Source organism: Homo sapiens, chromosome 9 (assembly GCF_000001405.40).
Source record: "Homo sapiens chromosome 9, GRCh38.p14 Primary Assembly".
NCBI classification, from domain to species: domain Eukaryota; kingdom Metazoa; phylum Chordata; class Mammalia; order Primates; family Hominidae; genus Homo; species Homo sapiens.
The window spans coordinates 62,912,922-62,940,719 of NC_000009.12; the positions used below are offsets into that span (position 1 = coordinate 62,912,922).

The window sequence follows — 27,798 nt, forward strand, 5'->3', positions numbered from 1 at the left end:
TGTGGGCACAGAAGGGGCTCTGGGCTAAAGAAGGAAGCTGGGAGCCCCTCAAGTAGCAGAAGGACATTGGGGTCATCCCTGAGAGAGGAGACCTAGTGAGAATGAAGTGATGGCAGGGTAAGGTGGGGTGGGAAGGGGAGGGACAGGCGCAGATAGGGAGAGGAGGGAGTAATAGGGTAAGGGAGATGAAGAGAAGGGCAAGGAGGGGAGGGAGTAGATAAGGGACAAGGAGGGAGGAAAAGAGAGGAGAGGAAGACGAGGAAGTGGGAGGGTGAAGATAGGGAAGGGGATGGCCCAGAGGTATTCATTTGAAACAGCCCCAGCAGGACTGATTGTAGCAGTGGCTGTCCAGTGAGAGAGAAAGGAAAGAATCAAGAACAAATTCTAGATTTTTGACGTGGGAAACTGGGAGAAGTTGGGGACTTTTCCCATCTCAGTGCTTTTCACTGAGAGAAGAAAAGGAAGAGTCATATTTGAGTGTGAAAACGAGAGTCGCCTTTGAGATCTATTAAGTTTAATATGCTTCATTAGGAAGCTCCCTCATTTCCCCCGTAGCATCAACATTCTTTCTAAAACATTTGGAAAGTATTATGATTTTTATTGTAGAGTCCCCCGACCCCAACAATTTTCTTTACTTTTTTCCTATTCATTGGTCATGGAAGTTGCTTCCAATTTTCAGCTATTGTGAATAATGGGCTCTTTAAAGCATAGAACAGAGCTGGTTTGCAACGAACATTCTGTACACAGGTCTTTGTCAGCATCTCTGAATATTATATTCCTAAAAATTCCCAGAGGTACGATTTGTAGGTCAAAGGCTGTAAACATTTTACAGCTTCTTAATACATATTGCCAAATGATGCTGCAAAAAATGGCACCATGTACATTTTTCAAGAGAAGCATCAAAGGATCTCACTGGTCCTCGCCACCTGGACTATTGTAATGGTCCTGAATTGTTGCTAATTAGATGTGCAGAAAATACTATTTTATGTTCATATCTGGATAAAGTACCCATGAGGGTTTTGACTAATGTATAGAGGAGAAGAATCCTTTTTAAGGATTTAGATGTGATTTTACTGAGTTGCAGATGTCTTCTTCCCCACAGTACCTTGGGGGACTGAATACAGGTGTGGAGGCCACCCAGCTTGTGTCTGTGTTTACTGTCCTTCTCTGATTGGAAGCCTCCCCATCTTATTCCATTATACTTTGCTACTGTTCTCCCACTTAGCTGACCTGTCACCTCTTGCCCGAGAGTCTCAGGGTTAGTAATGGATTTCATGACTGCACACTTTAGTAATGAAGAACTCCATTATCACCGGAAGGGGAGTGATCCTTCTGTGGTGTCTGAGCCAAGACAGGACAACATGGAAGCCCAGCACGTCAAGGTCCAGGAGCGTGTTCAGTGGCTGGGCCTGGGGGCAGGAGGAAGAAAAGAGACAGATGCAGGGAGAGCCCCCCCATCCTGCCCCCACCATGATTACTCATCCTTCTTTGTAGTTACATTACTTCATTGTATTACCTGGAAATAACCTGTCTCCTTGGTTAATGGTCTATTCTTTGGGAGACAGCTTTAGAGGCTGGCAGACCTAAATTCTAATCCTTCTACCTGATGTTGGGCAAGTCACTTGTGGCTTTGGAGCCTCAGTTCCTAATCCGAAGTGAATCTCACAGTGGCCACCTCCCAGGGATGCTGTGCTAGATGAACTGCCTGAGTTGGGTAGCTGGGCCAGGCTCTAGGTCACGGTGAGATGCTGCAGCTGTGGCTGTACCCTGTTAGTGCTGGGTCTGGAATCCCAGCCTCCAATACAGCTGTGATTAAAGAATGCCTGGAAGGAGCAATGCAGGAGGAAGGAGAAGGATGAGAAGTTCGAGGTTAGCATCAGATGACTGGGGACTTGGCTTTCCTCTGGCTACTTCCCAGCTACTTTGGGCTCTGACACCTCTGGCCGGCCACACACACACCCTGAGCACTCACCATCTCCCGGAACTCAGTAGCCTGATGGCCCAGGATGACTGAGTGCCGGCAGATCTGGCAGGAACAGCTTGTGAATGGCATGGGTGGCCAGGGTCTCTGCCTGATAAAGGGAATGTTCTTCCCTCAGGAAAGCGGCCCAGGTGTCCTGGAGCAAAGGACTATACTGGAATAGGTTGGTGCCTGCAGCCTAGAGCTTGGACAGTTTCGGCAGCCAAATGAATCCTGGGGTTCCCAGTATTTGGGAAGAGGTTAAGGTATGTGGGAAGAGGCCAAAAACATAAGGAACCTCCCCGTGGCGTCAGGGTCCTGCTCCACACAGACAGAATCTGAGACGCCCTCCCCGGGGCACCTGGTTCTTCTCCAGTCCCTTGTCACCTCCCAAGCGGGCCTCGGAAAAGGCAGGTCTGAGGATGCGCACCGACGCGGGACCTAGTGCAGGCTGGTGGAGCCCCCTCCGCGGTCCTCTGAGTACAGCTGCCGGTCCCCACCTCTGAGGCAGAACTTGAGGAAAATGGGGTCAAATGGAAGGTACTGGTATCGGGACACACGCGGGGAGGCCTCCAAACACCCTTTCAAGATGGTTCGTGTTGACCCCGATAGGTCTCGTGTTGGAGGGGCAGGCACTGGGGGTTGCTGGTCGACCCGCATGTTGCCCCACCACAGAGCATCCAGGGCTAAGAGCGCGACAAGAGCCTCCTCCGACCTTAAGCTGTAGGTCCAAGCTCCCACGAACAGATGGGGAGCGAATGCTTTGCTAGCAGGCGGAACAATCCTGCTAACGCTAGGGACATCCTGGAACTCGACGCTGGTGCACAGCGGCCACTTCTCTCTCTCGCGGGAGCTCCAGAGAACAAGTGCAATACGTAACATCGGCCGCCAGGTGGAGCCCGACAACGGCGCAAATGGCAGTAGTCCATGTCGGATCGCTTCTCAGACCTGAGTGGGTGGAGCGCGTCTGGCTCCTCTCCGAGCTCCGGGTCAGCACGACGCGTCCCCAGCAGCATAAGGGAAGGCTGACTGCTGGGAAGAGTACAGACTCTCCCTACCTGATTCCCAGTCTGGCCCGTGGAAAATGTAACCGCGAGCCTGCGGGCCGGGCGCCCTGCCAGGCCGGGCTTTCCAGAGCCGCGCAAGCGGACTTAGAAAATACCGTGCCCTCAGGTATGGGATGAAAAACTGCAACCATGAAAGCTTTGTTGAAAACACTTTAATTCTAAAATTTCTGAACAGAGAAGATCTTTAAAGCATAGAACAGAGCCCGTCACGGTTGTTCACGCCTGTAATCCTAGCGACTTGGGAGGCTGAGGCGAGAGGATCGCTTGAGGCTAGCAGTTTGAGACCAGCCTGGGCAACACAAATAGACCGCTGTCTCTTAAAATAAAAATAAAAAGGCATGTATACAACAAAGACAACTCGAAAGCCATCAAGGACACGATTGATTAACTTGATAGCATAAAGTTTAAAGAAAATTTATCTGTGCACGTACCAGGACAAAGTCAAATGACAACAAATGGGTGTGGGGAACATCGGTGCAAATACATGTGTGATAAGAATACTGATTTCACCATTACTTCTAATAACAAAAAATAAAGAAAACATAGCCATTCAGAGGAGCCAGGTTTAAAAAATTCTGGTACATCTATACAGTACCGTTAATTTATGTTTTGGTTTATTTCTTCAGGGCGGGAGACTTACATGTAGTAACATGGAAAAATGTCCATGATGAAACAGTAAATGAAAATAGCAAATTCATGAGAATGCAAATTAGAATCATACTGCGATACCATGAATGCCTTAGACAAAATAGTCTTCAAAAGTGAAGGAGAATTAAACACTTTTTTTTTTCTTTCTGAGATGGAGTCTCACTCTGTCACCCAGGCTGGGGTGCAGAGTGCAATGGCGTGATCTTGGCTCACTGCAACCTCCGCCTCCCAGGTTCAAGTGATTCTTCTGCCTCAGCCTCCTGAGTAGCTGGGATTACAGGCACACACCACCAGGCCCAGCTAATTTTTGTATTTTTAGTAGAGGTGGGTTTTCACCATGTTGGCCAGGCCGGTCTTGATCTCCTGACCTCAAGTGATCCACCTGCCTTGGCCTCCCAAAGTGCTGGGATTACAGGTGTGAGCTACTGTGCCTGGCAGAGACTTTTGTAGAAAACAAAAATTGAGGCAATTTGTTGCTGGTGGACCTGCATGCAAGAAATGTTGGAATAAGTTAAAAGAAGTTCTTAAGAGAAAAGTAAGACATTTGGATCTACATAAAGGAAGAATATAAAAAATGAATATATGAATGTGAAGTAAAAACTTTGCATTTTCTTATTTTCAATTGATATAGCAGCTAATAAATAATTTGTTCAAAATAATGATAGCAATAGTTATTAGATGTTTATAATTTATTGATAAGTTAAATGAATAATAGCAATGATATAAACTAGGAGGGAAGAGTTAGAAATATTTTGTTATTATAAAATACTTGCACTACTCATAAAGCAATATAGTATTACTTGAAAGTAGACTTGTACTAATGGTAAATGTACATTCCAAAATCTAGGGCAACCAATAGAAAGGTTTTTTAACAGTAAAAAGAAAGGAAGAATTTACATGCTTAAATGGGAGAGAAAATGGAACCATATAAAATGCTCAGTTAAAACCACAAAAGGCAGGAAAAGAGTGGAAGGCAAAAATAGGAAGAAAAAAACAGGACAACAAATAGAGAATAATAACAGACATGATAAATACCAATCTAACTGCATCTGTAATCACCTTTAATGTCAATGCTCTACATACACCAATTAAAGACTGAGTTCATCTGAGTTGATCCCCCACAAAAAAGACCCAACTATACATTGTTTACAAGAAACTCACTTTAAATGCAAAGACATATAGTTTTGAAGTAGGAAATGGAAAAAGATATACAAGGTTAACAATAATTAAAAGAAAGCTGAAGCAGCTATATTAGTTTTCAGACAGAGTAGACTTCGGAGAGAAAAGATAATTCTGGATGAATATAGGCACTGCTTGATAACAAAAAGTGAATTATCTGAGAAAATGTAACAATTCTTAATGTGTGTGCACCTAACAAGAGTGGTAAAATATGTGAGGCAAAAAACTGATAGAACTGCAAGGATAAATAAAAGAATTCACAATCATAGTTGTAAACATCAACACCCTCTATCAGAAATGGAGAGATCCAATAGATAGAAAATCAATAAAATATGGTAGAACTAAACAGCATCATCAAACAACTGGAAGTAATTAACATCTATAGCCTACTTAGTGTAATGACAGCAGAATACATATTCTTTTCACTCTCACATGGAGCATTCACCAAGATAGGCCACATTCTGGGCCATAAAGCCCACCTTAACACATTTCAAAGTATAAAAACCATGCCATACCTGCTCTCCGAAAACACTGGAAACTATTATACAAACCAGTAATAGAATGATAGCTGGGCAATCTCAAAATACTTGGATATTCAGAAATACACGTCTAAATAACATAAGGGTCAAGAAGAAATCTCAACAGAAATTAAAATTATTCTTTGAACTACATGAAAACAAAAATACAACTAATGTCTCCAAGAGTTTCTTACTTCCCCTATGGGAATGTCTGTATTTCCTACAGAGATCAGTCAAAGCTGGACAGGGAGCCTCCAGGAAGGGTCTCTGACATGGCTACAGTTTTGCGTGGGGCACAGTTGCATACAGCACTCCCTAAAACGTTTCTCTTTCCCAATTAGCTAGCTGAGACATTCCCTAACTAGTCATGGAGGCCAGGGTGGGCATCCCTTCCACCTGGTGGACTGAGTGGGGATTGGTCATAGGAGGCACCCTGCAAAATTTATCTAAACCCCTCTCTGGAGGCCAGGACAAATCTGAATGGACCATGGAACTGGGGAGAGCCTGGGTGGGAGCCAGTGGTCAGGAAGGCTTTGGGGGCTGCTCAGATGGGGCCAGGTGTGAAGGCCTGAGAAGGGTACCTTGTTGCATGGGTCTGGTTGGCCCGATGAGTCTCCAGAAAGTTTCTTAAGACCCCTGGTTGGGGGTGGGGGACTGCATCTGGCTAGAAAGTGAAGGCCCCAGGGATGGGTTTGGTGCCCTACTTTCCACTCCAGTCCAAAGCAGTGCCTGTCATCAGAGGCACCAGAAAATATGTTCTAAGTACTCCCTGTTTGTGGGCACCAGGTAAGGATGCCCAGTAAGGCCTGGGAAGGCCTTGTGAATCCGGTCACAGTTCTTCCTGGCCTTGTCTATGGCGTGCAAATTCTTTGAATGTTTGCAAGTCCCTCTCTGGAGGAGCAGCAAAGGCCTGAGTGGCTGAGGAGGCCTATTATTTTTATTTATATTATTGTATATGAAATTATTACTTATGTTATTTTTGTTATTATAAAAAGATGTAAAGTGTGACATCAAAAACATCAAACATGGGAGAAAAGGAAGTTAGAGTGAAAAGTTTGTGTATGCAACCAAAATTAACTGTTATCAGCTTAAATTAACCTGTTATAAGTATAACATGTTTTATGTAAGCCACAGGGTAGTCACAAAGCAAAACCTGTAATGGATACACAAAAGATAAAAGGAAAAGAACCAAAACATACTACTACAGAGAGCCATGAAGCCACAAGAGAAGAAAGCAAGAGAAGAAGAAGGGACCAAAGGCTCTACAAAGCAACTAGAAAACACTTTAACAATGGCAAGAGTAAGTTCATACGTGTCAATAATAACCTAGAATGTAAATGGATTAAATTCTGCAGTTAAAAGATACATAGTGGCTAAATGAGGTATTTTTTTAAAGACCCAGCTATATGCTGCCGACAAAAGACTCACCTCACCCGTAAGGACACATGAAGATATTCCATACAAATGGAAAGCAAAAGAAAGCAGCAGTAGTTGTACTTTTATCAGATAAAATAGACTTCACATTAGAAATCCTAAAAAGAGACAAAGGAGATTATTATATAATGATAAAAGGATCAATTCAGCAAGAAGGTATAACAATTATGAGTATACACCCACCCAACACCAGAGCAAATACTAGATCTAAAGGGAGAGACAGACTGCATTTCAATAATAGGAGACTTCAACACCCTACTTTCAGCACCGAACAGATCATCCAAAGAGAAAATCAGCAAAGGAACATTGGACTTAAACTACACTCTAGAGCAAATAAACCTAACTTTTACAGAAAATGTCATTCAACAGCTGGAGAACGTGTATATATTCTTCTCATGAGCACATGGAGCATTCTTCAGCATAGACCATATGTTAGGCCACAAAACAAGTCTCAACACATTTTTAAAAATTAAAATCACATCAAGTATCTTTTTTGACCACAATGGAATAAAACTAGAAATCAATAACAAGAGGAACTTTGGAAAATGCACCAATACAACATGCTCCTGAACAACCAATGGGTAAATAACGAAATTAAAAAGAATATTTAAGAATTTCTTAAAACAAATAAAAATAGAAACACAACATACCAAAATTTATGTTATATATCAAAAGCAGCAGCAGTACTAAGAGGGGTAGTTTATAGAAATAAATGCCTATATAAAAAGGTAGAAAGATTTCAAATATAATGATGCACCTCATGAAACTAGAAAAGCAAGAATAAATCAAACCCAAAATTACAGGAAGAAGAAATACTAAAGATCACAACAAAAATAAATAAAATTGAGACTAAAAATATGAAAGATCAACCAAATGAAAATATTGTTTTGAAAAGGTAGACAAAATCAACAAATCTTTAGGTAGACTAATGAAAAGAAAAACTCAATGGAATAGAATCAGAGATAAAAAGGAGATATTACAACTGATAAAACAGAAATACAAAAGGTCATTACAGACCATTATGAACAATTTACATCAACAAATTGAAAACTTATAAAATAGATATATTCTTGGACACATATAACCTACCAAGATTGAACCATGAAGAAACAGGAAACCTGAATAGAACAATAATGAATAATGTGATTGAATCAGTAATAAAAAGTCTAACAAAGAAAAGTCTAGGACCATATGGCTTTACAGATGAATCCTACCTAACTTTTAAAGATAAGCTAATGCCAATTATTCTCAAACTATTTTGAAAAATCAAAGGGGAGAGAATGCTTCCAAATCTTTTTTAAGGCCAGCATTACCCTGATACCAAAACCAGACAAGGACACAACAAAAAAAACTATAGGCCAATATTTTTAATGAGCATAAATGCAAAACTCTTTTAAAAAAAAACCCTAGAAAACAAAATCCAACAGCACAGAAAAAAGATTATACACCATGATCAGGTGGTATTTTCCCCCAGGGATGCAAGGATGCTTCAACCTACAAATATCAATAAATGTGATACATCACATACATCACATCAAGAGAATAAAGAACAAAACCTTGTGATTATCTCAATAGACACAGAAGTAGTGTTTGATAAAATTCAACTCCTCTTTGTGATTAAAAAAAAACCCTCTCAACAAATTAGGTATAGAAAGAACATACCTTAAAACATTAATGTTCATATATGATAAACCCACGGTTAACATCGTACTGAATAGGGAAAAGTTGAAAGCCTTTTCTCTAACATAGAACAAGACAAAGATATTCACTTTCCCCTAAGATCCTTTCTCTAAGATCTAGAACAAGACAAGGATATTTACTTTCACCACTTTTATTGAAAAGTGGTCAATCACATCGTTTTCTTTTATTGAAAAGTGGTGAAAGAGTCCTAGACAGAGCTATTAAAAAAGAAATAAAGAGCATTGGAAAAGAGGAAGTCAAATTGTCACTGTTTGCAAATGACATGATCTTATATTTAGGATAAGCTAAAGACTTCACTAAAAAGCTGTTACAACTGGTTAACTATTTCAGCAAAGTGGCAGAATACAAAATCAACATACAAAAACCAGTGGCATTTCCATATGCCAATAGTGAACAATCTGAAAATCAAGGAAGCAATCCCATTCACCATAGCTACAAAAATATAAAATGCCTAGGAATAAATTTAACCAAAGAGGTAAAAGATCTGTACAATAAAAACTGTAAAACACTGATAAAAGAAATTGAAGAGGACACAAAAAATAAAAAAACTCATATTCATGAATTAGAAAAATTAATATTGTTAAAATGTCCATACTACCCAATGTTAACTATAGACTCAAGACAATTCCTATCAAGTGACATTCTTCACAGATATAGAAAAAGCAAGCCTAAAATTCATGTGAAATCACAAAAAAGCCTGAGTATACAAAGCAACCCTGAACAAAAAGAACAAAGCTGGAGACATCACACTATCTGACTTCAAAATATACTACAAAGCTGCAGTGATAAAAAATAAAAAGCATGTTTATGGCATAAAAACAGACATATACACCAAAGGAACGAAATAGAGAACACAGAAACAAATCCATGTATTTATAGCCAACTGATTTTCATCAAAGGCCCTAAGAACATACACTGGGGAAAGAACAGTATCTTTAATAAATGGTGCTGGGAAAACTGAGTAACCATATGCAGAAGAGTGGAGCTTGACCCTGATCTCTCACCATATACAAAAATCAACTTAAAATGGATTACAGAGTTAAATGTAAGCCTCAAAACTGTGAACCTACTAGAACAAAACTTAGGTAAAATCCTTCAGGACATTGGTCCGAGCAAAGATTTATTGAGTAAGACCTCAAAAGCACAGGAAACCACAGCAAAAATTGACAAATGGGATTACATCGAATGAAAAACCTTCTGCACAGGAAAGGAAAAAATCAACAACGTGAAGAGACAACCTACAGAATGGGAGAAAATATTTGCAAAGTATTCATCGGATAAGGGATTAATAATCAGAATACACCATGATGCTCAAACAACTCAATAGCAAAAAAAAAAAAAACACAACAACAAATACTCTGATTTTGAAAGGGGCAAAAGATCTGAATAGACATATTTCTCAAAAGAAGAAAATCAAATGGCCAACACATAAATGAAAAAATGCTCAACATGATTGATGATCACAGAAATGCAAATCAAAATCACAATGAGATATCCTTGCACCCCAGTTAAAGTGGCTATTATCAAAAAGACAGAAAATGACAAATGATAAGGAGGATGTGGAGAAAGGGAAGTGCTCATACACTGCTGGTAGGAATGTAAATTCGTACAGCTACTGGAAATCTCCACACTGAAAAGCACTGTGGAGATTTGTCAATAAAACTAACCATAGAACTACCATATGATCCAGCAATCCCACTAGTTGGTATATGGCCAAAAGATAAGAACTCAGTGTATCAAAGAGATATCTGCATTCCCATGTTTATTGCAGCAGCACTATTCACAATAGCCAAAATATGGAATCAACCTAAGTATCCATCAATGAATGAATGGGTAAAGGAAATATGGTATATATACACAATGGAATATTATTCAGCCAGAAGAAAGAATGAAATTCTGTCATTTGTAGCAACATAGATGGAATTGGAGGACATTATGTTAAGTGAAATAAGCCAGATACAGGAAGACAAATATCATGCTTTTACTCATATGTGTGGGCTAAAAAAATGGGAGGTAGTGAACAGAATGGTGTTTAGCAAAAACTGGGAAGGGTAGTGGGAGGAGGGCATGAAAAGGGGTTGGTTAATGGATATAAAATACAGTTAGATAGATAGAAGGAGTAAGATCTAGTGTTTGGTAGCACAATAGGGCAACTATAGTTAACAGTAATTTATTTTGTATTTCACAACGTTCTCAACACAAGAAAACAATAAATGTTTGAGGTAATGAATATCCCAGTTACCCATATCTGATCATTACACACTGTATGCTTGTATCAAAATATCACAGGTACTCTATAAATATGTACAACTATTATGTTTTCATAAAAATTAAAAATAAAAACTAGACTATTAATTGTTCTACTTTGTGGACATAAAATATCTTTCCATTTATTTGTGTTTTCTTCCATTTTCTTTCATCAGTGTTTTATAGTTTTCAGTGTACAGTTCTTTCACCTCCTTGGTTAAATTTACACCTAAGTATTTTATAAGTTTTTTGTTGCTATTGTAATTGGATTGCATTCTTTTTTTTTTTTTCTGCCTCCCAGGTTCAAGCGATTCTCCTGCTTCAGGCTCCCGAGTAGCTGGGATTACAGGCACCCGCCATCATGCCCGGCTAATTTTTTTTGTATTTTTTAGTAGAGACAGGGTTTCACCATGTTGATCAGGCTGGTCACTCTAATTCCTGACCTCAGGTGATCTGCCCACCTCGGCCTCCCAAAGTGCTGGGATTACAGGCGTGACCGCCGTGCCCAGCCGGGATTGTATTCTTAATTTCCATTTTGGATAGCTCACTATCAGTTTATAGAAATGGTAAATCACCCTTTGTGGATAAAGCATGGGTACTCAGCAATTAGGAATAAACCCTTCAGCTAATGTCTAAGTTGCTTTCATTGTTACTTTATCTGTTTGATTTCTTGTCTAAAGTTTGATAATGGCAACTAACCCATTTTTAAGAGAAATTAAAATGGATAACATGCATGTGATATTCTGTGAAAATTGCATGACTTCTTTTAATTAATTTAAGGAAACTATAGATGTGTAGTTAGGGCTTTAAACCAAACTGGTGCAATTTATTTTCTGCTAAATTACAAAGTTATTTGATTGAACTGACAAGTAATATTGCTTTGTTTTATTTTTAATTCGTTACTGTGCAAATTCACATTTGGGGAATGGAAGATTATATAGGAAACCTTGAACCACCTTTAAATAACTATATTTTTATTTATTAAGCCACAAACAGTTTAGTTATGTTGTTATGAGCAAATATATTTACTATTTTTTCTCTGCAATAGGAATAGAGATTTCTTTTGCTCTTCTATCTCAACTGAAAAGCATATGTTTTCTGGATCACTGCCATTGGCTCCTTCCATAGTATTTAATAAATATATGCATTTCATAGTGTTAGGCTTGTATAAATACACTACTAACTTCTCTTCACTATAAATGAACTTGAGCAACTCTCATATCTACAATTTCTAGCACCAGAAAAGTGACATTTTCCTTTAAGATGGGGAATAGGCCTTTTGAGGTCATGGTGGAGTCATATACTCCCTTTTATGACAATTATTAGCACCACGTGAGGGCAGAGAGGAATGTAAAAAAAGTATCATTTCAAGTTACTAAGCTACAACCTGCCACCACTGATGGCATGTCCACTTACAGCTCACGAGCCAGCTCTTCATCAATAAGTGCTGCTTTGCAGTGGTTTGTAATTGAATTGTATGATGTAAATGTGGAGACAGCCAATCATGATGTTACAGGATCTTTGGGGTGTCGATTTTCTTGCCCAGAAACCTCTGTGGACAGTGGCATCTTTGCCTGAGTTCTTGTCCTGCATCCAGGAGGAATGAGGTACGCAGACAAAGGAATGGCGAAGAAGATTAAGAGGAGTTTTATTTAGTGTTAGAACAGCTCAGAGAAGACCCACAGTGGGTAGCTCCTCTCTGCAGGCAGGTCGTCCGGTGGAGTGTTCAGCTTTCAGCAGAGAGGAGGCCCTGGCGAGTGTGGCTCCTCTCTGCAGGCTGGTCATTTGGAGGTCTCTGCAGGTCTCTGAAGCTCTCAGTAGAGGGGAGAGTTCGTCTCTGCAGCTGGTCATCCCATCGTCTCTCTGTCCTCTGCCCTCTCTGGCAGAGCCCAGGGCTTTTATGGACCTCAGAAAGGAAGAAGTACCTGCCAACTGGTCCATGAGCAGCCATTGGCGGCCCAGAGGAGGGACAGATCCCCAGTCCTGTCCACAGGATTGGCAGTCTGGCTCCCAGCCTTCAGGCCCTCCCCGGCTTGAAGGTGGGGCTTTACTGGGGACCCATCCGCTTCTGCCCAGGACTCTCCCTCCCCCTGCCATTCAAGTCCCCAGGGCTCGACCAACCCTGTTGGGAGATTAAAGAGGGTGCCAGAAGAGGAGAGAGGCCAGGCAGTGAGAGCAGACATCCCGGAGCCAGCAGGGGGTGGCGGGTGCAGGCTGCCAAGATGCCAGGGTCCTGTGCCTGGGAGGGTGGCCTTAGTTGCACCCAGGGAGCTCCCACCCAGCCAACTCAGAAGGGGCGGGGCTTCTGCTTGTCTCCGTCTCCTGCCTGCTCCATGGAGCCGGAAGCCCAGGTCTGCAGCAGTGGGTTGGGTGGCTGCAGCTGTACCCAGGAGGGCAGATCCTGTCGGTTCCCAGCCCCCTCCAAGAGCACAGGGAAGCTTGGATCCACAGCTGCAGTTTGGGCTGGGCTACAGCCTGCTCCGTAGAGCAGGAGGCCTGGGTCTGCAGCCGCACCAGGGAACTCATACCCCAACTCAGAAGGGGTGGGGCTCCCACCAGCTTCATGGAGTATGCAGGCCCAGCCATGCCTCCCTGCTGTAGCCCGCATGATGGCTGCAGCTGCTGCCATCAATGAGAGAAAAAAAAGACAAAATTTACCAACATCAGTAATGAGAGAGGTGATCTCACTACATACATTACATATATTAAAAGGCATAATAAGAGATTACAATGCAAAGCTGTATGCCAGTATGTTTGACAGCTTAGAAGTAAAGACAAATTCCTTGAAAGATGTAAACTACTAACACTGCCTCAAGAAGAAATAGACGACATGAATAGTCTATTAATTAGATTGAGTTTATAGTTAAAAACCTTCCCACAAAAAAAATTCCAGGCCCAGATGGCTTCGCTGGAGTTTTCTAGCAAACATTTAAGGAAGAAATAACAAATAAACATAAACTCATTCAGAAAATTGAAGAGGAGAGAATACTTTTGAACTCATTCTACAAGTCCAGCATTATTCTGACACCACATTCAGACAGACATTTTTTTTTCTTTTTTGAGACGGAGTCTCGCTCTGTCACCCAGGCTGGAGTGCAGTGGCGTGATCTTGGCTCACTGCAACCTCCACCTCCTGGGTTCAAGTGATTCTCCTGCCTCAGCCTCCTGAGTAGGTGGGATTACAGGTGCCCCCCACCATGCCCTAATAATTTTTTGTATTTTTAGTAGAGACAGGGTTTCGTCATTTTGGCCAGGCTGGTCTCGACCTCCTGACCTCATGATCCGCCCACCTTGACCTCCCAAAGTGCTGGGATTATGGGCGTGAGCCACCATGCCCAACCTAGACAGACATTTTTAAAAAGTAAAAATACAGTACTTCATGACCACAGATGCAAAAAAATCTTAACAAAGTTTCAAAAAATTGACTTATACCAGTAATTCAAGTTTAGTTTACCATAATAAAATCAACCAAAGCAATTTGGCATAAAGACAAACATTCTGCAAAACAATTTGGCAGTTTCTTAAATGTTAAACAGATATCTACCATATGACATAGCTATTCTTGTCTAGGTATTTACCCAAGAGAAATGAAAGGATATTTTCATATGACCATCTGTGCATAAATGGTCATAGTAGCTTATTTATAACAGATGAAAACTGGACACAATTCAAATGCCCATCTTCAAATGAATGAACACACAAATTGAGCTATATTCACACAACGAGATACTACTCAGCAATAAAAAGGAATGAATTATTGATACATATTACACATTAATGAATTTCAAAATAATTCTGCTGAAAGAAAAAAGCCAGATAAAGAAAAGTAAATACTGTGTGGTTCCATTTATATGACATTCTGGAAAATAGAAACTAATCATGAGAGAGATCAGATCTGTGGTTGCCAGGGATTTGAGGGAAGCAGGGAGGTTATGGGGGAGGGGTTATCAAGAGGGAGGAGAATATTTTGCTGGGGTGATGGATATATTCCTTATTTTAATTGTGATGATAGTTTCATGGTTGTATACATATGTAAAAATTTAACAAGTCCTGCACTTTAAGCATGTGTGTTCATCATATGCCAATAAAGCCTCAATATGGCTGTTAAACAAAAATTACCGAACTGCTAAATATGTGTATCACTCTAGGAAATGAAAGACACCTCTTCAACTGCTTTTGTGTCTTGACTTTTTTCCCAAAGGAAGACCTATATTTTGCTTCATTTCTTTCTACTCTACATTTCTTTTTACTCTGCTTGCATTTAGTTTAAAAGAAAAAGCTCTCTGTTGGTGATTTCTAATCTATTTTAAAGTAAATAATTGTACTGTCCAATTAGAGACTGAGATAACTCATGAATTATCACACAGGTTGTTCTCCTGTACAATATATATGATTTTGAGTACTAATATTACACAGTGAATTCAGAATTGTGTGTATGTACATACATACCATAGTCTTATAAATAACTTCAACTTGCAATAATTAACTTGCAGTTAATTCTTACAGTAGTATGAGTTTGGGCCTCTTAAAAAAAGAACTAAAACCAACTCCCTGCCTGAGAATAGAAACACACACACACACACACACACACACACACACACCAAATTGAATAATCTTGTTTTCTCGCTTACAATTGTGGGCATTCATTTATGGAATTCTTGGCAGCTATGTTAGCATAAAACCCCACCTATAATTATCATTCATATTAGAATAATATTTCACAAATGTGGTCAGTATTGTCTTCTGCAACATTACAGTTAGTTGGTGGAATAAGTTCTAGTGTTGTACAGCACTATAGGGTAACCACAGTAAACAACAGTGTGTTGTCTTTTTTTTCAGATACCTGGGAGAGAGGATTTTTCATGTTACCAACACAAAGAAATGATAAAGGTTTGAGGTCATGGGCATGCTAATTACCCTGATTTGATCATTATACATTTTATACATCTACTGAAATATCCCACTGTACCCCATAAATATGTACAATTATTATGTGTCAAGTAAAATATGAATATATATAGTAAATAAATAAATGAAGTAATTTGCCATTACTTAACATTTCATTAAATGTATGTTTCCAAAATTATATTTGTTCTTGAGACCTTTTGAGTGATCACAGTTTCTGCTATTCTCCATAAGGCCTCAGTTTGACAGGGTGATGAAATCTTGAATAAAACACAAAGGAATGTGTTTGTATTTGCAGTGCTTCCCTTGCAGGTGAAATGGCCACCAGACCCAGGCTTTCTGGAATGCATTCATTTTCTGCAGTTGAAAGGGACAATCCCGGATCTGAAAGAAAGAGCCACAGTGACTCCAAGAGTGGAGCCAGGGCATGCTGGACACTGCATAGCTATGGCCAAGTGTGTCACCTCTGAGGGAGATGTGAGAGAAACGCAGAGGGATCGCTTGTGACTGTGCCTTCTCGATGTATGATGGACTGTTCTGCTCAAATAGTAAGTGTGACCAAGGAGCCGGTGAACATAGGAAACAAAGAATATTTCATTTGACATTATAAGGAATGCGACAATTCTAGTCACTTGAAAGTGAACTATATCTGTCGAGAATTCCTAGTTTTAATTGGGAAGAAATGCGCTTCTCTTCTTGAAAAGCCACAGGTTATTGCTGTTATGTCTAATATCAGTCCTCTCTGGATTTCTCAAAAGATTTTCTGTATATCCTACCATTTTCCTTCTGTTGCTGCAGTTTGGAAGTAGTTTGTTATCAGGATTATCAAAGCATCATTGCTATTTATGACAATGACTTTAAGAAATGCAAGAATATTTGGAACACTGTAGAAAAAATATTTTAGCCTGGAAGGCAAATACTAATTTCAGGAACCATTGATCTGTTATAAAACAGGACCACTCAGACATTTAGCTCTAAGACTTTCACATATCCGTTGTTAGAGGCGTATAGTGGGGGGCATGACTCAGCTTCTGCTTAAGTACAAGGTGTTGTCTGCAGCGAAGGAAGAATTTGATTGTAGTATCAACAGAACCAGACAGAACTCTTTGAATATAATTATATATCTTGGAAACTGACTCATCAAAGCTATTAGATTACATGGCATCATTTAAGCATCACTGGGCTCTGTACTTTTCATTATCTGTACTCTTCATTATGGAGTATAATAGGCTTTATTTGGTACAGAAATTGGGTCTAAGATGAAACAACTTGTGATTTTTGAATAAACTTTTGGGGATTAGTTACTTTGATGTTGTCAAGATAGCACCATAGTAAGTCCTCTGTCTTTCCTCTTGATTTATTTATAATTTAGAATCAGTTTATGATTTTAAAAAATGTGACAGACACAGTGGCATGCACCAGTAGTACCAGCCACATGGGAAACTGAGGCAGAAGGATCACTTGATCCCAGAAGATAGAGACCACCCTGGGCAACATAGTGAGAGCCCCATCTCAAAAAAAAAAAATCAGTTCCCAATACCATTCCAGAACACTTTTAATATAACCAGATGAAATTGTGATCACTACTTTACTGTAATGTTTAAAATGGTCCTCAGTCCATATTTAAGTACAATCTTAGTGTTTCTGTGCAACCTAATATATTAGAAACAAAAATTGTATTGCATTTGAATAGGAAATACTCTGAATTGAGGGTTATTTCTTTTAACAGTTGCAATTAGATTGGTTAGTGACAATTATCTGTAATTTTCAGGCAATGCCTAGGCAAGTGCCCAAGGCACAGTAGCCTCCTCCTTGCCTCCGTGTGTGTGTGTGTGTGTGTGTGTGTGTGTGTGTGTGTAGGGTGGTAACATTTCTGGGAATTTGTCTTAACATAAAATGATACCACCTTTCACAAAACGACCTAGAGGAAGTTGGAAATCCCACTATCCTGGCTTCCTGCTGAGCAATATCTGCTTCTCTTTCTGACTCAGGCTGATGCATCTGTATACTTAGCTTCACTTCTCCAGTAAATAAGGGAGAGCTTTATTATAAAAGACAACTTCTATTGATTTTCAAGGGGGTGGGTGGTTGTCAAGCTCACTCCTTTCTATGCACTGAGGGAAAATTATTGTAAGCGATCTGTAAAACAATAGATGAAAAAAGAGGAGATAAAAATTAAATAAAATTTAAATAAAAACTAGGATCCTAAGTGGAAAAATAGCTTTAAATTAGAAATTGATACCAAAAAATAATGATATGTAATCTAAGGTGAAAATATTTTGAAGACTATCACGATATCTCCCTTAAATGTTATTTAGTTCTGAAAAATATGTATTGAAGAACTGTTATATTTTACTTTATGTCATATTAAGTGTGGTAAAATTAAAGAGAAACAAGTAGATAAAAGTAAAGATTGTATTATTATTTTATCACTCAGGTTATTTCAAGACTGGAGACATTCTTTAAATAAACCTAAATTATGACTCCTTGCACTTAAGTTTTGCTAACATAAAAAGTATGTATGATTTCAGAGATTTCTGCATATTTTGGAATGAGCTCTTCAGTTGCTTGTAATTTCCAAGAAGATTACCCATTTTACCCCTTAACTAAAACCCCTGTTCCTTTACTGCCTTGCTGCTTCACTTCATGGGGATATGTCACTGACCAGAGGAAAGATCACATTGAATTTCTGAGCCACGCTGTTTTGTATGGTTAAAATAAGATGCTCAAAGTATGATTTCACAAATCACATGGTTATTGCCATGCAAGGAGAATTTGTTTTCTTAAGTTCACAATGCTCAAAAAGGAGAAGAATAATGTGAACAAATCTACAGGGAATACACTCAAAAGATGAGGCACATTAACCACAGAGGGAGTGAGTTCCAAATATTAAAGTCTAGTTCCTGAAGTAGAAATGGAAGCAGGCCTCTGTGGAAAGGCAAATCGAATGAAAGTTTGAGGTGCACCTTTTTTTCAAGCGAATTCTCTGGAGAGATGGTGTCTTGACACCATGGAGATCCTCAAAGACACCTGGGGTCCCTTGACACCAGTGGGTGGTGCCAGTGATGCAGGCGAGGCTTCAAAGCTCAGCTGCTGACAGGGTGGGGCTCTGTTGCTGCATGAGTTCAGTCTTCCAAGAATTGACTGGCAGGGCAACCCTGTCACAGAATATGCTCTCCATTTTTGGAGAAGTGGCTGAGACTTACTGAAGTTCTCAAAGTGTTCATCGAGCTCTTATGTTTATATGTATTTTGAAATCCAGTGGTTGAGGTCAGTAACTCACATATGATGGGTCTGATGAGTTTTGACATTGCATTCTTTTTCCCCCCACGAGACGGTGTCTTGCTCTGTCACCCAGGCTGGAGTGCAGTGGCCTGATCTCAGCTCACTGCAACCTCTGCCTCCTGGGTTCAAGTGTTTCTGCTGCCTCAGCCTCCTGAGTAGCTGGGATTATAGGCGCACGCCACCACACCCGGCTAATTTTGTATTTTCAGTAGAGACGGGGTCTACCATGTTGGCCAGGATGGTCTCGAACTGGCTACTCTCAAACTCCTGACCTCATGATCCTCCGTCCTCGGGCACCCAAAGTGCTGGGATTACAGGCAGAAGCCACCGCTCCCGGCAGACATCGCATTCTTGAGGGCTGGAGGGAGTACGGTCTAAGTTCTTGTTACAGCAAAACGTAGCAAACTATGCAAGTCTTTGGAATAATTCCAAAACTACATAATAGACATGAGCTCCAAGCTTACTGATTTATGTGTGTGCCTTCTCTGAGGAATATCTTTTGGTTATCCTTGTGCAACATGGCAAATATTTTTTAAAGTGAATGAGAGTTAATGAGAAAATTAAATTATAAAAATATTATGGCAATGAGGTGGATCATCGCAGTGTTCAAGCTACAGATAAAAATATGACATGCCCTCCAACTTTCATTCTCTTTTATTTTTCAGTAATATTCAAAATATTTATTGCAAAAGTTAGCATTTCAATGATGAAATTAAGATGCCTTTCAGTTCAAGTTTGGCAATTTTACATATTTCATGTGAAACTCTGATTTGAAATGTTGCTGAGGGTCTTTAGTATTGCATATGAATAATAAAAATCAAATTTGCCACATATTGGAATAAGATATACAGTATTTTATATGGCAAATGTTTCTCTTCCTTTTAAGAGAAGAAGAGAAATATTAAGGTGGTTATTACTCAAGTGAATCCTACTTAAAAGTAACTTTCTAATAGTTGAGAAGTCACTTATGCATACCTACGTGAGGAAGAAAGTTGAATTGACTGTCATTCATTCAGCCCAGTGGGACATCAAACTCTCCAAACCTTTCACAGTAGGAAAACAAAGCCAGGCCTCCTTAACTATGCTACATGGCAAGTCAAAACATGAACATAATATCTGAAAAAGCCTGAAAAACAACTCTGGCTAACTAGATCTCATTGCAGGCAGTGAGAGAGTGGTGGCAAATGTGAACATGTCTGTGTGGGGTGGTGGCAGGGGAATTGGAATATACGAATCCAAGGAAAACTGACTCTTGGCAAATTACTTGTTTTGGTGCTCCTCTTCATTTTTTTTATTATGGTAGAAGACTTTGTATACAAATTTCTCACTGTACATAAAACAAGTTCTTCAGTTATTGCATTTCTGCAATATATTAAAATACATGAGAAAATCACATTAAAAAGAGGCATGATTATAGAAACAAAATGTTATTACAATACGATATCAACTTATAATTCATAATTATATTTGTAAATATCAAATTATAAGTAATTTATGAGAAATTAGAGCCAAAGCTTTTCATACTTACTTTAGTGTTTTTCTAAAGGAAATACATGGTGAAAGAACTGTAGAGAAGACATAGCTTATGATTAATCCATTTGTCTTGATACTTAACACAGTATTGGTGGTGCATTGGTTCCAGGACTCCCTGGGGATACCAAAACCCATGGATGCTTGAGTTCCTTATGTAAATGATGAAGTATTTGCATGTAACCCACACTTACACTCTCTCTTTAAATAATCTCTAGATTACTTATAATTCCCAGTGCAATGTAAACACTATATAAATCGTTGTTTTACATACTGTTTTAAAATTTGTGTTATTTTTAATTTTTGAAGATACTTTATCCATGATTGGATGAATCCATGGATGCAAAACCTATGGATAGGAAGGGCTGACTGTAACTGAGCTCAGAGATTCTGGAAAAGCACTTAAGTAATCAATATTCCAGGAAAGGGGACTTAAAAAGTATCCTTGACTCTACATGAGAAGTTTTAAATACAGTTTTTTTTTTCCTTTTTAGGGAGTTTGCAGGTCAGGTACAGGCTAGACTGACATCAAGATTCTGATTCCTTTTACTTTGATTTAAAAAACTTAGCTGATAGCAGTTTCACCATTTTAGAATGAACATGAAAGAAGCAATTGTAGAGGTAACGCATTAATTAAAATTATGACTTTCTAGCATCAATGACTTTACACAAACATTTGATAATAAATGACTGGGAAAAAATGCCCAACCAATGATATACATACATATATATATATGTATGTATAAGTAAGAAGTGAAGTCAAATATAATTACAGCGTTTTGTTTGGTTTTGCTTTTGTTCTTTGCTTTGCTTTTGTTTAACAATGAGAATCTATCCAAGCTATTATTAACATTTGATTACTTAGATGCCAAGTTTTGCTTTTAGTTCATAAGGAAACGTAGTCGATTTTATCACTGGATACTACTGGTAGAAACTTTGAATTGATATTTCGGTGAAAACCTATTTTCATTGAATTGTCAAACCACAAATGCTATATATAATAGCAATTTAGAACAAGAAAAACAACCTGATTTTGATTAAAATGAGGATACATAATGAAAAGTCACCACAAAATAAACTTTACTCTGTTACTGGCTTTTGAAGAAAATCATTTAGATATTAAATCTATAGATAGAACATTTCTCTGCCTCATGTAATATTTTATTCTTAGTTAAAAGTTTTGAGGTATAAAGTAATGCATTGTATTTCTTTGTAGATCCTCCCAGTTATAGATATCCTATGAAGCAAAGTAAATTGGGAAAGGAGATAACAGGTGGAGTGGCAGCTTTTGGCATTCTATAAGTTGGTTAAAAATATTTTCCTCTTAGTATATAAATCTTGGAATTGATCTCTTAATCTTTTTGGTAGCACTAACAGGTGGTTTATTTTATGATTTTTTTCCCTTGGTTTTCCTTTGCTTCCTGTCTTTTTATCACAAAGTTACTCTTCATTTGAATGCTTCTATTGGAACAAATTGCTAGGTTAACAGAATGCAAGGAGACAAGTCATCCTGTCAGGTACAGAATTCATTCAGTGCTGTCAAATTTCTTGTATTGGGGAAAATTTTAGGTAGGTGGAAGAAAAACCTTTCCCTTCACATAACAGATCAAAAGTGTCATGTCACAAGCATGAGAACCATTTGTCATGCTGAAAGAAACTTCTTTTCTTAAGTTTATGAATAATTACATCATGAGTGACAATCAAGATAAAAACTGTACTTTTATCTAAGTGCACATGTAATCATGAGTAAAGTGCTTCCTGAAAGACGAGCAAGAATATTGCTTCAAAAATAATCTTACATTTATCTGTCTCACTTAGCAATCAAGCACAATGAAATGTGTTATTCTTCTAATAATTCAGGCAAGAAAAAATGTGATCAAAGTATGTGTAAAATTCATAGCTTCTGTCTGTGTCTTCATCGGTGGTCAACCCAGAAACTTTCACTTAATGAGACAACTAAGATTAAGTTTGGAATAAAAGAACGGTATGAATTAATTTTAGAATGCTATATTATTTGTCTTCTGACTTATGAACTGTATGAATTAATTTTAAAATGCTATATTATTTGTCTTCTGCCTTCATTTAATTCTTATGGAATTTGAATTTTTCATAAAAAATGGTTCTGAGCAAGTGCTGCAGTGGATACAAGATAACTGGATCCTAGCACTGGCTCTTCCATTTACAAGTTGCACCATAGACTGTGACAAGGTATCTGATATAGTTTGGCTCTTCTCTGTGTCCCCACCCAAATCTCACATTGAATTGTAATCCCCAACGTTGGGGGAGGGAACTGGTGGGAGGTAACTGGACCCTGGGGGAAGATTTCCCCCTTGATATTCTTGTGATAATGAGTTCTCTCAAGATCTAGTTGTTTAAAAGTGTGTAGCACCACCCCCTTCACTCTCTCTCCTGCTGGCCAAGTGAATATGTGCTTGCTTCCTCTTCACCTTATGCCATGATTGTAAGTTTCCTGAGGCCTCCCCAGCCATGCCTCCTGCACAGCGTATGGAACTGAGAGTCAGTTAACCCTCTTTTTAAAAATAAATTGCCCAGTCTCAGGTAGTTCTTTATAGCAATAAACTAATACAGAAAATTGGTAGCAGAGAAGTGGGACATTGCAGTAAAGATACCTGAAAATGTGGTAGTGACTTTGGAACCGGGTAGCAGGCAGAGGTTGAAACAGTTTGTAGGGATCAGAAGAAGACAGGAAGATAAGGGAAAGTTTGGAACTTCCTAGAGACTTGTTGCATGGTTGTGACCAAAATGCTGATAGTGATACGGACAGTGAAGTCCAGGCTGAAGTGATCTCAGATAGAGATGAGGAACTTATTGGGAACTGGAGTAAAGGTCACTCTTGCTATGCTTTAGCAAAGAGACTGATGGCATTGTTCCCCTGCTCTAGGGATCTATGGAAATTTGAACTTGAGAGAGGTGGTTTAGGGTATCTGTTGGAAGAAATTTCTAAGCAGCAAAGCATTCAAGAGGTGGTCTGGCTGCTTCTAAAAGCCTATGCTTATTTGCATAAACAAAGAAAATGACCTGCAACTGGGACTTACATTTAAAAGGGAAGCAGAGCATAAAAGTTCAGAAAATTTGCAGCCTGGCCATGTGGTAGAAAAGAAAACCCATCTTCTCGGGAGTAACTCAAGAAGGCTGCAGAAATTTGCATAAGTAAAGAAGAGCCGAATGTTAATAGCCAAGAGAAGGGGGAAAATGCCTCCAAGATATTTCAGAGAACTTCAAGGCAACCCCTCCCATCACAGGCCTGGACGCAAAAATGGTTTTGTGGGCCAGGCTCAGGGACCCACTGCTCTGTGCAGCCTAGGGACATGGCATCCTGCATCACGGTCACTTCAGCTCTAGCCTTGGCTAAAAGGGGCCAAGATACAGCTTGTCCATTGCTTCAGAGGGTGTAAGCCCCAAGCCTTGGTGACTTCCACATTGTGTTGGGCCTGCAGGTGTGCAGAAGGCAAGAATTGAGGTTTGGCAAACTCTACCTAGGTTTAAGAGGATGTGTGGATGTCCAGGCAGAAGTCTGCTGCAAGGGTGGAGACCTCGTGGAGATCATCTACTAGGGCAGTGCAGGGGGGAAATGTGGGGTTGGAGGCCCCACACAGAGTCCCCACTGGGGCACTGCCTAGTGAAGCTATGAGAAGAGGGCCACTGTCCTCCAGATCCCAGAATGGTAGATCTGCTGACATTTTGCACCATGTGCCTGGAAAAGCCACAGGCACTCAATTCCAGCCTGAGAAAGCAGCCGTGGAGGCTGTATGATGCAAAGCTACAGGGGCAGAACTTTCTAAGGCCTTGGGAGGCCACCCATTGCATTAATGTATCCGGGATGTGAGACAAAGTCAAAGGAGATTATTTTGAAGCTTTAAAATGTAATGACTCCCCTGCTGGATTTCAGACTAGCATGGGATGTGTAGCCCTTTTGTTTTGGCCAATTTCTCTCATTTGGAATGGGAGCATTTACACAATGACTGTACCCTTATTGTATCTTGGAAGTACCTAATTTGTTTTTGGTTTTATAGGCTCATAGGCAGAAAGGACTTGCCTTGTTCCAGATGACACTTGGGACTTGGACTTTTGAGTTAGTACTGGAAGGAATTAAGACTTTGGAGGACTTTTGGGAAGGCATGCTTGTGTTTTGAAATGTGAGAAGGACATGAGATTTGGCAGGGACTAGGGGTGGCATAATATGGTTTGGCTATGTGTTGCCACCCAAACCTCATGTTGAATTGGGACCTGGTGGGAGCTGATTAGATGATGGGAGCAGATTCCCCCTTGCTGTTTTCATGATAATGAGTGAGTTATCGTGAGACCTGATGTTTTAAAAATGTGTGGCACTTCCCCCTTCACTCTTTCTCTCCTGCTCTGCTATAGTAAGACATGCTTGCTTCCCCTTCACCTTCTACCATGATTGTAAGTTTCCTGAGGCTTCCTAGTTATGCTTCCTGTACAGCCTGTGGAACTGTGAGTCAATTAAACCTCTTTTCTTCATAAATTACCCAGTCTCACTGGGTGCAGTGGCTCATGCCTGTACTCCCAGAACTTTGGGAGGCTAAGGTGGGTGGATCATGAGGTCAAGAGATTGAGACCATCCTGGCCAACATGGTGAAAACCTGTGTCTACTAAAAATACAAAAATTAGCTGGGTATGTTGGCATGTGCCTGCACTCCCAGCTACTCAGGAGGCTGAGGCAGGAGAATTACTAGAACCCGGAAGGCAGAGGTTGCAGTGAGCCAAGACTGTGCCACTGCTCTCCAGCCTGGCTACAGAATGAGACTCCATCTCAAAAAAAAAAAAAAAATTCCCCAGTCTCGGGCAGTTCTTTATAGAAGTGTGAGAACAGACTAATACAGCAACTATTCTTCTGTGTCTGTTTTTTCATCTGTAAAATTGAGGAGATTGGAATAAATGATCCCTCTATATCCCTTCTACTTTTGATGCTTTATGAATCCAGGTTAAAGTGTGTGGTACAATTTAAGAAGGCTCCTTTTAATATTTGTATATCCATTAAGGACTCTTAGCTCAGATCTTCAGTATTATTCAATGACTCTCTTTCTCTCTTCCTCCTTCTCTCTCTTTACCCTCATTCAGATCAACATATAGAACATTTCCATTACCTAGGAAGTTTCCTGTGTCCTTTCCAAAACAATCTCTTATCACCATTGATTAGTTTTGCCTTTTCTTGAACATATAAATGGAATCATACAGTATGTCATCTTGTGTCTTGCTCATTTTCCTTAGCAAAATGTTTTGATATTCCTCCAATTTTTGGTAGATATTTTTAGTTCATTCCTTTCCACTGTTATGTACTCTTCCATTATATGAATGGAATTCATACAATGGATTTGTTTATCCATTCTTTTATTGATGAATTTTTGGGTAATTTCCAATTGTTGGCTATGAATCTCCTGTATTAGCTTTGCAGCTGTAATGAAACTTTTAGTCATTTCCCTCAAGATCACAATATGTTCTCTTAAGTTATTAGTACTTTGGCCACTTCCCAAAGAATGCAAGATCCTTACAAGTTTACTTCCATGTATTTGTGTATCTCTCACCCTTGTGCCATTGTTGTAATACACTTTTTTATTGCATTTTATATTTCTACAAGATATTATTATTATTGTAGTTTTAAAAAGCTTTCATTACTATTTACTCATGTTTGCCCTTTCTCTGCACTTCATTTATTCTTGCATTCCCCCCTGCTGCTTTTGTTTTCTAGTTTTTGATTGCCAATAAGAGCTACAGAAAATCATGAAATATTTCTTTTGTTTCTATATTTAATGTTTAATTGTTTTTGTGCTTATTGTTAGTAACTTTTTGAAACACCTTTCATTCCTTTAAGTAGAGAGGCTCTTCAGCCAAATTTTTATTCCTTAATATTTCCTTTTTCTTCCAGACATTTTGTTGTTGATGAGAGCAGAAAAGATTTTCCTTTTTGGAAAACATTATCAAGCAAAATATTTTATGGGCCAATGCTTCCATAACCTGAAACAATTGAAAGAATTCTGGATTGAAATGATAGAAATTGTATTGGTTTCTGGATTTCTTGCTGTAGATTTTTTAAGAGAAAAAATGTATTAAATCTGTTTTTGAAGTGACTAAGCAACTCTACTAAAAATTGTCATGCAAGTGAAAATTGTCCTCAGCTTCTTAGGCTACCATGTGACATTTACTTCACTACTTAGCTTCACCCAAATCACGCTTTTCCCATCCCTTTCTTGCCTGAGATGCTTAATGTTTTTTCTCCTTTTTTTCTGTCAAAACCAAAGTGTATTTGTTTTTCCATGCTAAGAGTTGATAAAATATTGTCCCACTGAGGCATAAATTAGTAAGAAAATGCCAACTATTAGTTCTCCCAGTTGGTTTTATTTTTTTCATTACATTTTAGTAGGAAAAATAGGTTTTAAGTTAAAAGAAAGGAACCCAAAGATGGAGTTTCAAGACATCCAATAGGAAAGACAGATAGAAATACATTTCTGTATATAGATATGTGTACATATGTTTATACATATAAATATATAGATATGTGTGTATGTACATATTTCTGTATGAGTCATGGTCCAGGTGTAATTTAAAACTATTTATGGAAATATTACATAAAGCACATTTATTTATTAAAAAGAAGGATTTCCATAGTGGAGTATAAAGTTCTTTAAACAGTTAATAGGAAGACTAGTCAGGACAGAATTAGAAAAATGTATGTGAACCATCTCCAAGATATGAGAGAATTACGTGCCAGGTGTACCATGAAACAAATTATATTAGTGTTCAATATTGCATATAAGAGTATAACATAATTATGAATATAAAATATATATTATAAATAGAATGTCATTTACCAAGGTTTTCCACCTTAAATAATACCGTTTTTTAATCTTAAAACATACATTGTAATAAGAGTTATGATGTTAAGAATTCTAAGTATAGCATGACAAAACGCTTCTATTATTTTCTTTAAAATATATATAAAAAACTTTTGCTGCTTTTTGGTGGATAATAACCCACACACATGTACACACACACACATGCATCCCCATTACCTTTTAATGGAACAAGGCAAGTCCTTTAATGGGGACACATGCATCCCTATTACCTTTTAACGGGACAGTCACCATTAAAAATGTCTGCAGTTATGTATTTCTAAAATCAGCTCTGTGGGTAAGAAATTTAATGTAGCTGCCGATTCTGTGCGGTTCTGGGGAAATAATAGTTTAAAATCTTCTAATTTGACTCTAATTTCACTTCTAACTCCAACCTGTGCTCCTGAAGCAAGACGTTTTTGGACCGTCAGCAGGCAGATGAAGGCCTGAGA

The 27,798-nt window shown here is 39.0% G+C and overlaps 1 pseudogene, besides 4 other annotated features; it reads left to right on the forward strand.

Annotated features, from left to right (window-relative positions):
• Nucleotides 1,960-2,747: an enhancer, noted in NCBI's record as "H3K4me1 hESC enhancer chr9:66570705-66571492 (GRCh37/hg19 assembly coordinates)". NCBI's record gives its function as "activates a minimal SCP1, AML or CMV promoter by ChIP-STARR-seq in naive H9 embryonic stem cells {active_cell/tissue: H9 hESC(naive)}" and the evidence as "EXISTENCE:reporter gene assay evidence [ECO:0000049][PMID:30033119]".
• Nucleotides 2,748-3,533: an enhancer, noted in NCBI's record as "H3K4me1 hESC enhancer chr9:66571493-66572278 (GRCh37/hg19 assembly coordinates)". NCBI's record gives its function as "activates a minimal SCP1, AML or CMV promoter by ChIP-STARR-seq in naive H9 embryonic stem cells {active_cell/tissue: H9 hESC(naive)}" and the evidence as "EXISTENCE:reporter gene assay evidence [ECO:0000049][PMID:30033119]".
• On the forward strand, nt 11,989-16,294 carry CNTNAP3P1 (CNTNAP3 pseudogene 1; annotated as a pseudogene).
• Nucleotides 12,661-13,161: an enhancer, noted in NCBI's record as "H3K4me1 hESC enhancer chr9:66581406-66581906 (GRCh37/hg19 assembly coordinates)". NCBI's record gives its function as "activates a minimal SCP1, AML or CMV promoter by ChIP-STARR-seq in naive H9 embryonic stem cells {active_cell/tissue: H9 hESC(naive)}" and the evidence as "EXISTENCE:reporter gene assay evidence [ECO:0000049][PMID:30033119]".
• Nucleotides 13,162-13,662: an enhancer, noted in NCBI's record as "H3K4me1 hESC enhancer chr9:66581907-66582407 (GRCh37/hg19 assembly coordinates)". NCBI's record gives its function as "activates a minimal SCP1, AML or CMV promoter by ChIP-STARR-seq in naive H9 embryonic stem cells {active_cell/tissue: H9 hESC(naive)}" and the evidence as "EXISTENCE:reporter gene assay evidence [ECO:0000049][PMID:30033119]".